Below are 13,322 nucleotides of genomic sequence, written 5' to 3'. Positions count from 1 at the left end.
AGGCTGTTTCTGGGCCCTGACCGGAGGCGGCTTGGCTGGCTCAGAAGTCTTTTCTGTTCTTGCCTTGTGGGGGACGGGTGGGGAGGGGGGTGCAGGCTGGGAGGAGCCATGGAGGCTGATTCCTTCCCCTTCATGGGTTCTCTTCTCTTCCTCCCCGGCAGCCCTGCCGTCGGCTCTGAGAGCCCGTAGTGTATGAGGTTGCATCTCAGAGTCCCGCCGCCCACTGGGCCCTCGCAGTGCATTGGGTTTGGTGTCTCCTCTCGGGTGGGGTGTGGGTTTGGTGTCTCCTCTCAGGTGGGGTGTGGGTTTGGTGTCTCCTCTCGGGTGGGTGTGGGTTTGGTGTCTCCTCTCGGGTGGGTGTGGGTTTGGTGTCTCCTCTCGGGTGGGGTGTGGGTTTGGTGTCTCCTCTCGGGTGGGGTGTGGGTTTGTTGTCTCCTCTCGGGTGGATGTGGGTTTGGTGTTTCTTCTCAGGTGGGTGTGGGTTTTGGTGTCTCCTCTTGGGTGGGGTGTGGGTTTGGTGTTTCCTCTTGGGTGGGTGTGGGTTTTGGTGTCTCCTCTTGGGTGGGTGTAGGTTGTGTGGGTTTTGGTGTCTCTTCCGGGTGGGTATGGGTTTGGTGTCTCCTCTAGGGTGGGTGTGGGTTTGGTGTTTCCTCGGATGGGGTGTGGGTTTTGGTGTCTCCTCTCTGGTGGGGTGTGGGTTTGGTGTTTCCTCTCAGGTAGGTGTGGGTTTGGTGTTTCCTCTCAGTGGGTGTGGGTTTGGTGTCTCCTCTCGGGTGGGGTGTGGGTTTGGTGTCTCCTCTCGGGTGGGGTGTGAGTTTGGTGTCTCTTCTAGGGTGGGTATGGGTTTGATGTCTCCTCTCCGGTGGGTGTGTGTTGTGTGGGTTTGGTGTCTCCTCTCGGGTGGGGTGTGGGTTTGGTGTCTCCTCTTGGGTGGGGTGTGGGTTTGATGTCTCCTCTCGGGTGGGGTGTGAGTTTGGTGTCTCCTCTCGGGTGGGTGTGGGTTTGATGTCTCCTCTCCGGTGGGTGTGGGTTGTGTGGGTTTGGTGTCTCCTATCGGGTGGGGTGTGGGTTTGATGTCTCCTCTCGGGTGGGGTGTGAGTTTGGTGTCTCCTCTCGGGTGGGTGTGGGTTTGATGTCTCCTCTCCGGTGGGTGTGGGTTGTGTGGGTTTGGTGTCTCCTCTCGGGTGGGTGTGGGTTTGGTGTCTCCTCTCGGGTGGGGTGTGGTTTGCTGTCTTTTGTGAACGTCTCCTGGGTCATGGTGTGAATGTCCCACTCTGCCTGAGGGGGAGATTCGCCCAGCTCTCATTTGCCCTGTTTTCTCCTGACCCTTTTCCTCCTTTCTGTGTCTCGATTCTGTCCTCTTGGCTTCCTGCCTTTCGTAGGTTCCTTACTGCATTTTCACCGCCTCCCCTCCCTCAGACTGTTTGCAGTTTATTCATTTCTGAGATAATTTTGTCTCTTCCTTCCATTACTTTCTTAAGTCCAGTCAACTCTTATTTCCTTTTGGTGTTGCATTTGTAATTTTATGGTTTTTATAAAAATTTGTCTCCTAGTTTTTGAGGTTCTGATTTGAGGTGATGATTTTCATATCCTTAAGTGCACACTTAAGCAGATTTTCCTGTATTGAGAGTGTTGTTAATTTTCTTGTTGTTCCAGGGTAGGTTTTTCTCTGATGTGTGTGGAGCCCCCATTTTTTGACTCTTCTCTGACTTTCCCGTGGCTCTGGGTGGCTTTACCGCCTCTGTCCCTTTGCCCTGGTGGCCTTGGGGTATTTGCCACATCTGTGGTTTCCTGGTGCCGTCTGCTGGCCACATGGGGAAGTCCAGGTCTTGAGCGGGTCCTTGCTGGTGTGCAGGACGGAAGTTGTCCTCCAGTTCTCCCGGCCCTTTCCTGCAGGACCCAGAACTTCCCCCTTTCCTTCTTTTCTGCCTCACCACCCAGTGGCCAAAGGGCTCCTCTCAGGACATGCTGTGTTGCCTTGACAACCCCTTCCCGTCTTGTGCTCAGTGGTCCCTGCCCTGTGGTCTGCACTGACCTTCCTGGACACCTCTCAGGCCCTGGGACTTGGGGTGGCTTAGCCTTTCAGCAGTGGCTTCCCACAGACCCCTGTCCCACCCCGCCCCACCGCGGCCTTGCAGGGGAGAGACTGGGGGGTCAGGCTCAGGCGTGTGTTGACTCTGCGCCGACTTGCAGTGATTTTGAAGTCTAGGCGCCCTCGTCCAGTGCAGACGGCGATGCTGGTGTAAACCTGCGTTCCTTGCTTGTGCTGAACTGTGTTTGGAAGAGAGGCTGGGAGACATCAGCTCGGCAGCCACGTTGTCTTCGGCCTCCCGGAAGTGATGCTAACTTTCTAAGCTGTGTGTCTGAGTGTTTTTCGCTACTACTGCTGTTCTTCAAAACGTGCTGCCAGTGACCTGGCCTTGTGTGTGTGACACCCCGTAAATGGTTAGGCACGGAGAGGGCACGTACGCGTTCGGGGCGGAGGTGGCTGGAGTGTGTGCGGCATAGGCTATTGTTACCCGCCGCCCGGGGCGGCTGTGGGCACAGCATTCTCCACCCATTGCTCGGCTGGGGCTCCGTGGCGGAGTAAAGGACGGACCAAGGGGCTCCCGCCCCGGGAGCAGACGCGCTCCTCCCGGACAGCCCCCAGGTGCTGACCGTGTGGGGCCTGACGTTTGGGTGGCGCAGACCCTGCACCGGGCGGTTCCGCGGACGGCGACTCTGCATTTGGCTTCGATACTGAGTGTCTATGGCACATATGCGGTGGAGAGACCTCCTCCTTTCATTTGATCCTTTTGAGAGCCCTGTGATGGGGCGAGGGCTGTCTGCAGCGCCATGCGTCAGAGGTGGGGACCTGCAAAGGGAGGGCTCACGTGGTATGTCCAGGGCCGCGGGGATTTTGCTTCGCTTGCTTGTTTTCTAATCCCAGCACCTGTACCTAACAAACCCCAAGCCCCTGTGTTTGGAGTTGTTTAGGCCGAGGCCCCCAGGGCTCCATGTTGGTGCCGGCCCTTGTGGAGCTGTCTGTCGTCCCAGGCTCTGTTTTGCGCCATTGCGCCTGCACATGCCGCAGTCCCTCTGGAGTGGCCGTCGCGCCTGCACGGGCCGCAGTCCCTCTGGAGTGGCCACGGCGCCTGCACGGGCCGCAGTCCCTCTGGAGTGGCCACGGCGCCTGCACATGCCGCAGTCCCTCTGGAGTGGCCACGGCGCCTGCACATGCCGCAGTACCTCTGGAGTGGCCACCGCGCCTGCACGGGCCACAGTCCCTCTGGAGTGGCCATCGCGCCTGCACGGGCCGCAGTCCCTCTGGAGTGGCCATGGCGCCTGCACGGGCCGCAGTCCCTCTGGAGTGGCCATGGCGCCTGCACATGCCACAGTCCCTCTAGAGGCCGTCGCGCCTGCATGGGCCGCAGTCCCTCTGGAGTGGCCATGGCGCCTGCACGGGCCGCAGTCCCTCTGGAGTGGCCATGGCGCCTGCACGGGCCGCAGTCCCTCTGGAGTGGCCATGGCGCCTGCACGGGCCGCAGTCCCTCTGGAGTGGCCATTGCGCCTGCACGGGCCGCAGTCCCTCTAGAGTGGCCATGGGTGCCTTGACCCTGGTCCCCACAGGCCCTTCTTTCTCAGGAGTCCCATGGAGCTGGAAGCCCCCACTAAGCACTCTTCTCCAAGCAGGCTCCATGACCAGTCCCTGCCTGACCCCTCTGGCTGCTACGCCCACCATGGGCACAGCCCGTGAGGGGTTTGGATGAATCTAGGGAGGAAAGCCACTGCCACTGCCGTGTGGGTTGGGCACAGAAGGCCTTGGTCCGCTGGCAGCCCCAGTCCTGAGAAGAGAGGGGGAGGTTCCTACGAGATCTCCACTCCATCTTCAGAGCAGTTTAGCAACAAACTCTCTGCGGGAGCCAAAATCCACATAGAATTCTGCAAGCAAAGACCCTATGGGAAAGACAGGGAGTCTGGACCCCTCCTGCCTGGGGCGAAGTGGGCTGGGGAGAAGCGGGAGTGTGCCATGTAGAGAAAGGCAATTGGAGTATCAGGTAGGTTAGATTTGCGTTTTTCTTTTAAGATTTAAGAAAAATTTGAAGAAAAATTTGTATTGATAAAACTCACAGAATCTGGAGAAGTTATATTGTTCATTCATAGTGCACCTTCAGAGCTTGGTGCAGAAGCAGGGCCTGGCATCAGTTTCTCAGCGTGCTGGGCCCTGGGGGTGGCCTCAGCCCCAAGGAGGCACCGTCTGGCCTTGGTTGGTCTCGCCCCCTCCCTTGGTTGGTCTCGCCCCCGGCCTTGGTTGGTCTCGCCCCCGGCCTTGGTTGGTCTCGCCCTCGGCCTTGGTTCGTCTTGCCCCCGGCCTTGGTTGGTCTCGCCCCCTCCTTTGGTTGGTCTCGCCCCCGGCCTTGGTTGGTCTCACCCCCTCCTTTGGTTGGTCTCGCCCCCGGCCTTGGTTGGTCTCGCGCCCTCCCTTGGTTGGTGTCGCGCCCTCCCTTGGTTGGTGTCGCGCCCTCCCTTGGTTGGTGTCGCGCCCTCCCTTGGTTGGTCTCGCCCCCTCCCTTGGTTGGTGTCGCGCCCTCCCTTGGTTGGTGTCGCGCCCTCCCTTGGTTGGTGTCGCGCCCTCCCTTGGTTGGTGTCGCGCCCTCCCTTGGTTGGTGTCGCGCCCTCCCTTGGTTGGTGTCGCGCCCTCCCTTGGTTGGTGTCGCGCCCTCCCTTGGTGTCGCGCCCTCCCTTGGTTGGTCTCGCGCCCTCCCTTGGTTGGTCTCGCGCCCTCCCTTGGTTGGTCTCGCGCCCTCCCTTGGTTGGTCTCGCGCCCTCCCTTGGTTGGTCTCGCGCCCTCCCTTGGTTGGTCTCGCGCCCTCCCTTGGTTGGTCTCGCGCCCTCCCTTGGTTGGTCTCGCGCCCTCCCTTGGTTGGTGTCGCGCCCTCCCTTGGTTGGTCTCGTGCCCTCCCTTGGTTGGTGCTGACACTTGCGTTAGAATATCTTGATTTCTTACCCTCGGCAGCCTTTAAATTGAGCACCTGAGATGAGCGTCTCTCCTTCACCCCGGTCCTCTTTTTTAGCTGCTGAACTATTTTGAAGATAGAAACATCAAACACAGTCCGGAATTTATAGCAGGTGTCACTGGGTCACACAGCCTGTTTGGGTGGTGCCTGTGAGAGCCCTGCCCTCACCCTGCAAACTGTCACTCACCTCGCCTGAGTTCTCTTTTGGGAGGCCTGGCCCTCAGGTGCGGATCACTTTATAATGAGCTAGTGTGGAGTGCGGAGGCTTCAGTAGCAAAGGGACCCCGGGCAGGTCTGAAGAAGGGCCCTCACAGCGCAGGGCGTCTGAACGGAGACAGGTGCCCTCATCTGTTTGAATCTCACAGGAATAAAGAAAATGCAGTGGGTCAGAGACACACTTGCATGCCATCACACAAGGCAGCCATGCTCCCAGCCTGAACTGAAAGTGGCAGAACGGGGAAGGGGGGAGGAAGGACGGCATGAGGGGCGGGGCCATGTCAGGGCTGTTCACAGCAAGGCTCCCACTGGCACACACAGCAGAATCCGCTCCTTCCAGCATCTTAACTTTGGTTGAGAATGTGCTGTAAAGATGCCATCGTAATCTTTGTACTTAAATATATGTGAGCAGCTTTCACCATCGGAGCAGAACTTAGTTTTCATGCCAGCTGGGGGAAATGACAGCTGTTGGGAGTTGTGTGGCACGTGCCCCGCTGGGCGGTGTCGTGTGTGTGTGGTGCGCGCCCCGCTGGGCGGTGTTGTGTGTGTGTGGCGCGCGCCCCGCTGGGCGGTGTCGTGTGTGTGGCTCGTGCCCCGCTGGGCGGTGTCGTGTGTGTGGCGCGTGCCCCGCTGGGCGGTGTCGTGTGTGTGGCGCGTGCCCCGCTGGGCGGTGTCGTGTGTGTGGCGTGTGCCCCGCTGGGCGGTGTCGTGTGTGTGGCGCGTGCCCTGCTGGGCGGTGTCATGCAGGTGTCATCAGCTGAAACCGCCAGAGCTCTCCACAGGAGCTGGCACGCAGCAGCTATGCTTCTCCAAGCAGGAACACATCTGAGGCAGCTCGGGAGACACCTGGTCACCTGTAGGGGCTGACGGAGGCGGCGTCTGTGCAGCCAGGGCCCAGCCAGAGGCTCAGGGATCACTGTGGGAGCCACTGAGAAACCCAGCCTTCCCAGCTGACCCAGCATGCCCAGTCCCAGCCAACCCCAGGCCTCCCAGTGCAGGAATTCAGCAGCCAAGCGGGGATGACACACACAGACCTAGTGTGGCTTTTGTGCCCCAGCTGAGTCCACAGGCAGTCCAGCTGTGGTCACATGGAGGGTGGCCCTGGGGCCGCTCAGCCATTTGCCTTGGGTGGGTGCCACCCCCTAGTCCATCCTCAGCCCCAGGACCAGGTCCAAGCACTGTGGGGCATTGGGCAGCATCTGAGTGTGCCCTGTCCTGAAGGTGCAGCATGGGGCCTCCTGCCCTTGCCCCTGCCCTGGCAGGGCCCTGGACAGCACCCCAGCTCCAGCTGTGGGCCTACCGGAAGGAGCCCGTGCCAGGCCTGGCCTCCTCTGGAATCGGGGTACTTGGCTCAGATACACAGGCTCATTGCAAGCCCCACTCTGAGCCCCACTAACACACTGTCTTCTCCTTTTTCATCACCAGGGGTCGGGCCCCGGCTCAGTGGTCCCAGGCAGCTCGGGTGTCGGAACCCCCAGACAGTTCACGCGACAAAGAATCACGCGGGTCAACCTCAGGGACCTCATATTTTGTTTAGAAAATGAACGTGAGACAAGCCATTCACTGCTGCTCTACAAAGCATTCCTTAAGTGACACAGGAGGACGCCTGGGGACTTTTTATATATTTGCAGATTACGCCTTTTTGTAACGAGCAAATGGGATATTGTTTAAAAAACAGCCACCTCTTTACAATGGAACAGTTTTATATTCCTGTTTCTAAATCAGCTCTTCAGTGTGAAAGAAAACACGTTTCTGTAACAGAGAGAACACAAAGGCCTGTGGATACTCTTAAAGGACAATTAAATCTTAACTCATCTTGATTGAGTGGCCTTCCTGCCAAACAAGCCATATATAAAGACTGATGGAATCGTTAGCAAATAATTAGCTGCCCTCTGTCAACTCATAGCAGTTTCTGCATTATTTGTGCATTTTGGTTTAGTTCTACCTAACTTACTATGTAGGTGTATGTCTACAGCCGATGACCTCATTTCGTTTATTTTATTTTTGTAATAGTCAGTTGGCAAAGCAAACTGATTTTTTAGACTATTTATCTTCCTTCCCTTCCCCTCCCACCCCGCTCTCCTCTCTGCCCCCTGCCCTCCCCTCCCCTCCCTTCCCCTCCACTCCGCTGAGAATCCTGGAGGAATACACAATTCATCGTTGCACCCCCACCTCAGAGTGTAATCGCATTTCTGCTTGGTAGAGGCCGAGCCCAGCAAAGGTGGCTCCTTCTGAATGTGTGGTCAGCATCTGTACAAATGCATTTTATTTGCTATAGTTTGTAAAGCTGTAAAGTTAAAAGAGATGAAAACCTTTTCAGCATAAATATATTTTACTTGCACTGTGTTTTTTAGCTAAAAGTGAAAACCTAGATTAAATAAAATCAAAGTTGAGAAGAATCATCAAAAGACTGTTTCTCGGTGTGAATCAAGTGTTGAAAAATGGTTGGTGTATTTTGTCAGTAATTGTACATAACTTTTGGCACATGACATAGAAATGGCTATGTAAACTATAATTATTTTGCTAAGAGACTGTATGCAAGCCTTGGGCCGACTTTACAGACGTCCAGAGCAAAGCCCCTTCTTTGTACCTATTTTTTTATTACAAATATACTAATTGGTTCTTTCTATTTTCAGAGGTTATTGTATGAAATTGTCTATTGATAGTACTTTTATGACTGTAAATACTCTGGCTTTCTCCGTGTGAATTCTCACATTAGACTTTAATTCGAGCGCGTGTGAACTGAACGCTGATCAGTATTTTTTATCAACACCTGAGAACTGTTACACCTTTTATTTTGTCTTTTAGGAAATCCCTGTCTTTCCATTTTTTCATGTAAATTTTGCACAGTTACTTGTTCATATGTAAATATTTTACTTTCAGAAATGAAGTTTTTAATTGCTATTGTTTTATATAGGATTGAAAGAAAATTAACTCCTTTATTAAAAACAAATTTATCTGTATTTGTTTTGCCTATTTTTCCTCCGTTTTCCAGTTTTAGATTCTACTGCCAGATTGCACTCCGGCTCTGCTGAGGTGCTGGTTTCTGAGCCACCTGTTGGAATCTGTAGCTGAGCCCCATCAGAGCCGGGAGAAAGAACTTTCTCTGTGAGGACAGGGGCCGAGCTACTCTCTGCGTGGAGTCTGGGGGCTGGCGGCTGCGCTTAACACCTTCTGCTGTCACAGGTGGAGATGAGCTGGGCACAGCTAGGAGGGGCGGCGGGAGGCCCAGTGCTGGGGGAGATGTACACAGAAACGCACGTGGCGAGCCCGGCTGAGGTGCCCAGAGGGCCCCAGCCTTGACGCAGACCTCCTGTGGCGAGAGAGGGCGTCTCCAGGGCAGTTTGTGGTATTGGTTGGTCCTGACAGGTCACAGCTCCTGCTGGGCCCTCAGAGGCTCAGCGCCAATGTGTACCGCTCCCTGCCTTCGAGCACCTTGGAGAGCCTTTGGGAACGGTCTCTGATGCAATTGGAGTTGGTCTCCCATTGTGACGTTCACTCCACCTACTGTGACGGACCCACAGCGATATGCAGGTTTACGTACACGTTCTGCTGGAGACACTGCCCCTGTTCCCACACCTGTTGCACTGCCCCACTGGGGCTGCCATCACAAAGGACCACAGATCGTCCCACCGCTCTGGGGGCCACGGTTGGAGATCAAGATGCCAGCAGGGTGGGTTTCTCCCCAGGCTCTGGGGAAGGGTCTGCTCTCCCAGCTTCTGGCAGCTGCTGGCACCTTTGGGTTCCTTGGCTTAGACACAGCGCCCGATCTCTGCCTCTGCCTTTCCACAGCTTCTCCCTTGTGTATGTCGGTCTCTGGGTCCAGCTTCCCCTCTCTGTAAGGACCCCCAGTCCTGTTGGATCAGGTCCCGCCCAAACGACCTCATTCTGACTGGATTATCTCTGTAAAGACCCTAACTCCAGATAGAGTCACATTCTGAGGACCGGGGGTAAAGAGTCCTCCGTATCTTTTTTAGGGAGGAAACAATTCACCCTGGATACGTGGCCACACTGAGAGTCTCGGCAGGAAGCACTGGGGGGCGCCCTCTCCAGCTTCCCGCTCTAGGCCGTGCCAGGGTCGTTCACTGATGGGATCACATCTGTGCTTTCCATCCATGACCCATACCTGCCTTTCACAAAGTTCTTGACCTGAAATAAATTAGTTTAATCAGGTACAAAGGGCAGTTGCACTTGAATTTCTGCAAGTATGATTGATTTCATTCCAGCTCTTCTGCTCTTCTGTCGGGTCCAGTCAGTCTGTGTGGGACGGTCATGGTGACTTGAGGCTTAGGCCAACATGAGAGAGATTCCCCTCAGCCGGGCACTGCCAGAAGACCGGGTCTGCAGGCATGTTTGTTGTACTCTGTTCTTGAGACCCGTAGCTGCTGTTTCGCATCTCATCACAGATTTGCTGGCTGCCCTCAGTCTGATCTGGGTGTTTGCCCAGGCCTGGGGCACGAGCAGCCTCGTGAACATGACTGGGACGGCCACTCTTGCTGCCTCTGCTCCCCACGTACAGGCAGCTCCAGTTGGGCAAAAAAGGCAAGAAAAAGAGGCATCAAGTATGGAGAGGAAGAAGGTGAACAAAGGATTCAGAGGTGACACGACTGTGTGTCTTGGAAATCCAGACGAACTTACAAACACAACACTGAGCACGGCGCGTGAACTCCCAAAGAGGGCCAGAGGCGAGGCCGGTAGCTGGAGGTGTCTGTAGTTCCGTGTACTCGCAACCAACAACCAGAAGGTTAAAAACATGCCGTCAACAATAGCACGGAGAACACACGCCCAGGAATACACCGAATGAAAGATGTATGAGATCTTACACTGGAACTGAGAAATCAAAGCCCTCAGCGGAGGCCGACACCACAGTGCTAGTAGGGAAGACTCTGTGTTGCTGAAGACAGCAAGTCTGTCAGGACTGAGAAACAGATGCAATGCCAGCTCAACCAAATCCCAGCAGGATTTTCCTAGAAACTGACAATCTGATTCCATAAATGTATATAGAAATGCAGAGGACTTAAATAGCCAAGACAGCCTAGGACAGAATGGAGCACTTGACCCTCCCACATTTCAAGACTTCCCCTGAAGTGACAGCAATCAGGATGTCGTGCCGTCGGAGCAAAGACAGGCGTGGCTGAAGGCCCTGGTGCAGTTCTGTGCCCTGTGGGGGAAACGTGATCTTGGAGTCCATCTTCACACTGTACGTAACCATCAACTTGAGGTGGATCAGAGATCTGGAAAGCGTCAGAGGTCTTCATGACTGGGAGTGGGCAAGGATTTCTAAGCACATAGAAGGCACACATCCTGAAGAAGAATGCATAAATTGGGCCTCAGCTACAGCCTTTTGCTCATCAAGATGCCCTTGGAGGTTGGTCAGCGTTTAGTTCAAGGTCAGAGTGGAACCTTTGCTTTTTGGCAGTCATGTTGTGGTCCGAGGCACGGGACGCACAGATTTTCTTTAGACTGGCTTCTTCGCCACACTTACACGGGACGCAGAGGAGATTTTCTATAGACTGGCTTATTCACCACACTTACGAATGCCACAATCTATCATTTAGATTTCATGAACACAGTGGGAAAAAAGTGTCTATTCAATTTTTATGAAATACATTGTTTCTGAAAAAGTTTAGATACTAATCTCTATTTTTTTCTTTATAGTTTTGCTATGTTACTGAGGAAAAATGGAATGTAAATTTCTCTTTAGAATGTTAAAAAAAGGTATATAAAGTAAAAAGGCAAGCCACAGACTTGGAGAAATATTTGCAATATTTATACATGACACAGGAATAAAGAATTCCACTACTTAGTAATAAAAAGATAACACAATAACAAATGTGCGAGACACTTGAACAGGTGCTTTAGAAAAGATACACAAGTGGCGAATAAGCAACTGAAAAGGTGCCCACCGTTACTGGTCATTAGAGAAATGCAAATGGACACCACAGCGAGGCTCCACTGTGTGCCCACCCTCAGGGCTTGAATCTGAAAGACTCTCATCCAGTGGTGGCATGTTGTGTGACACAGGAAGCTGAACGCACGTCTGCCCGGTGTGTGACGCAGTGATGAAGCTGAATGCCCGTCTACCCAGTGTTGAATGCACGTCTACCCGGTGTGTGATGCAGTGATGAAGCTGAATGCACGTCTACCCAGTGTTGAATGCACGTCTGCCCGGTGTGTGATGCAGTGATGAAGCTGAATGCACGTCTACCCAGTGTTGAATGCACGTCTACCCGGTGTGTGACGCAGTGATGAAGCTGAATGCACGTCTACCCAGTGTTGAATGCACGTCTGCCCGGTGTGTGACGCAGTGATGAAGCTGAATGCACGTCTACCCAGTGTTGAATGCACGTCTGCCCGGTGTGTGACGCAGTGATGAAGCTGAATGCCCGTCTACCCAGTGTTGAATGCACGTCTGCCCGGTGTGTGATGCAGTGATGAAGCTGAATGCACGTCTACCCAGTGTTGAATGCACGTCTGCCCGGTGTGTGACGCAGTGATGAAGCTGAATGCACGTCTACCCAGTGTTGAATGCACGTCTACCCGGTGTGTGATGCAGTGATGAAGCTGAATGCACGTCTACCCAGTGTTGAATGCACGTCTACCCGGTGTGTGATGCAGTGATGAAGCTGAATGCACGTCTACCCAGTGTTGAACGCACGTCTGCCCGGTGTGTGATGCAGTGATGAAGCTGAATGCCCGTCTACCCAGTGTTGAATGCACGTCTACCCGGTGTGTGATGCAGTGATGAAGCTGAATGCACGTCTAACCGGTGTTGAATGCACGTCTGCCCGGTGTGTGACGCAGTGATGAAGCTGAATGCCCGTCTAACCGGTGTTGAATGCACGTCTGCCCGGTGTGTGACGCAGTGATGAAGCTGAATGCCCGTCTACCCAGTGTTGAACGCACGTCTGCCCGGTGTGTGATGCAGTGATGAAGCTGAATGCCCGTCTACCCAGTGTTGAACGCACGTCTGCCTGGTGTGTGATGCAGTGATGAAGCTGAATGCCCGTCTACCCAGTGTTGAACGCACGTCTGCCCGGTGTGTGATGCAGTGATGAAGCTGAATGCCCGTCTACCCAGTGTTGAATGCATGTCTACCCGGTGTGTGATGATGCAGTGATGAAGCTGAATGGGCATCTCTTCAGTGTGTGACACAGCGACGAAGCCGAATGCACATCTATCCTGTGACCAGCAGTTCCAGTCCTAAGCATCTACTTGAGAATGAGTTCCTTTGTCCGCGGAAAAGTCATACAAGAATGTTCACAATGGCCGTATTGATGCTCAAGATGGAAGCAGCCCAAATGCCCTTCAGCAGGTGAATGGAGAGTCAAACAGATGCATATTTAGTCAGTGAAACGCCCCCCAGGAATAAAAAGGAACGAACTACTGATATGCTCCACCAGGTAGCTGAATCTCAGAGGAGCTACGCTGACTGGAAGAGGCCGGACACAGAAGCCTATGCATTCTGATTCCGCCTGATGGAAGTTCATGGGTGGGTAGAAGCAGGGTGTGGGGCTCCGGTGAGGAGACTGTCGGGAAGGGGCGCCAGGGCCCTCTGGGGTGATGAAAATGTTCTGTTTTGATCATCATGGGTGTCACACAGGCGCGTGCCAATGTGAAACACTAAGCTGACAGGTAATATCTGTGCATTTGAGCCAGTGTAAGGGCACCTCAGTTAAGCAACCGGGAAAGGCTTGGGCCCCACCCAGGTGGGTCACCTGGCCCCGCACTAGGGATCTGACACCAAAGGACTCGTGGCATGTAATGGCCCCGATGGTGGGCCGAGTGCCCCGACGGGGGGCCGAGTGTTCCGACGGGGGGCCGAGTGCCCCGACGGGGGGGCGAGTGCTCCGACGGGGGGCCGAGTGCCCCGATGAGGGGGCCGAGTGTTCCGATGGGGGGCCGAGTGTTCCGATGGGGGGCCGAGTGCCCCGATGGGGGGGCCGAGTGTTCCAATGGGGGGCCGAGTGCTCCGATGGGGGGCCGAGTGCCTGAGAAGTTGTCATCGTTTTTCCAGTGCTGCTCTGACTACAAATCTGGTGGTTCTCCACAGTCAGTTGCTGGCGTTTTCCCTTCTATCAGACGGTGGCCTCCAAATGTAATTAAAAA

The 13,322-nt window shown here is 54.6% G+C and overlaps 1 protein-coding gene across 2 annotated transcripts in view, besides 2 other annotated features; it reads left to right on the top strand.

Moving 5' to 3' along the window:
- Positions 1-8,176, top strand: part of TAF4 (TATA-box binding protein associated factor 4) — a 91,084-nt gene extending 82,908 nt beyond the window's left edge. For both annotated transcript variants that reach the window (NM_003185.4, XM_047440429.1), the window contains one exon: positions 6,639-8,176. In NM_003185.4, coding sequence (NP_003176.2) covers positions 6,639-6,806 — 168 coding nt within the window. In that variant the 3' untranslated portion in view covers positions 6,807-8,176. The remainder of the gene's footprint in view (positions 1-6,638) is intronic.
- Positions 5,971-6,471: an enhancer, noted in NCBI's record as "H3K4me1 hESC enhancer chr20:60551559-60552059 (GRCh37/hg19 assembly coordinates)". NCBI's record gives its function as "activates a minimal SCP1, AML or CMV promoter by ChIP-STARR-seq in primed H9 embryonic stem cells {active_cell/tissue: H9 hESC(primed)}" and the evidence as "EXISTENCE:reporter gene assay evidence [ECO:0000049][PMID:30033119]".
- Positions 6,472-6,972: an enhancer, noted in NCBI's record as "H3K4me1 hESC enhancer chr20:60551058-60551558 (GRCh37/hg19 assembly coordinates)". NCBI's record gives its function as "activates a minimal SCP1, AML or CMV promoter by ChIP-STARR-seq in primed H9 embryonic stem cells {active_cell/tissue: H9 hESC(primed)}" and the evidence as "EXISTENCE:reporter gene assay evidence [ECO:0000049][PMID:30033119]".
- Positions 8,177-13,322: the final 5,146 nt, after the last annotated feature.

The sequence above is a fragment of the Homo sapiens genome, chromosome 20, assembly GCF_000001405.40.
Source record: "Homo sapiens chromosome 20, GRCh38.p14 Primary Assembly".
Classification (NCBI taxonomy): Eukaryota; Metazoa; Chordata; class Mammalia; order Primates; family Hominidae; genus Homo; species Homo sapiens.
The sequence above is the reverse complement of the archived record's forward strand: the minus strand, read 5'-3'. Positions and strand labels throughout refer to the sequence as shown.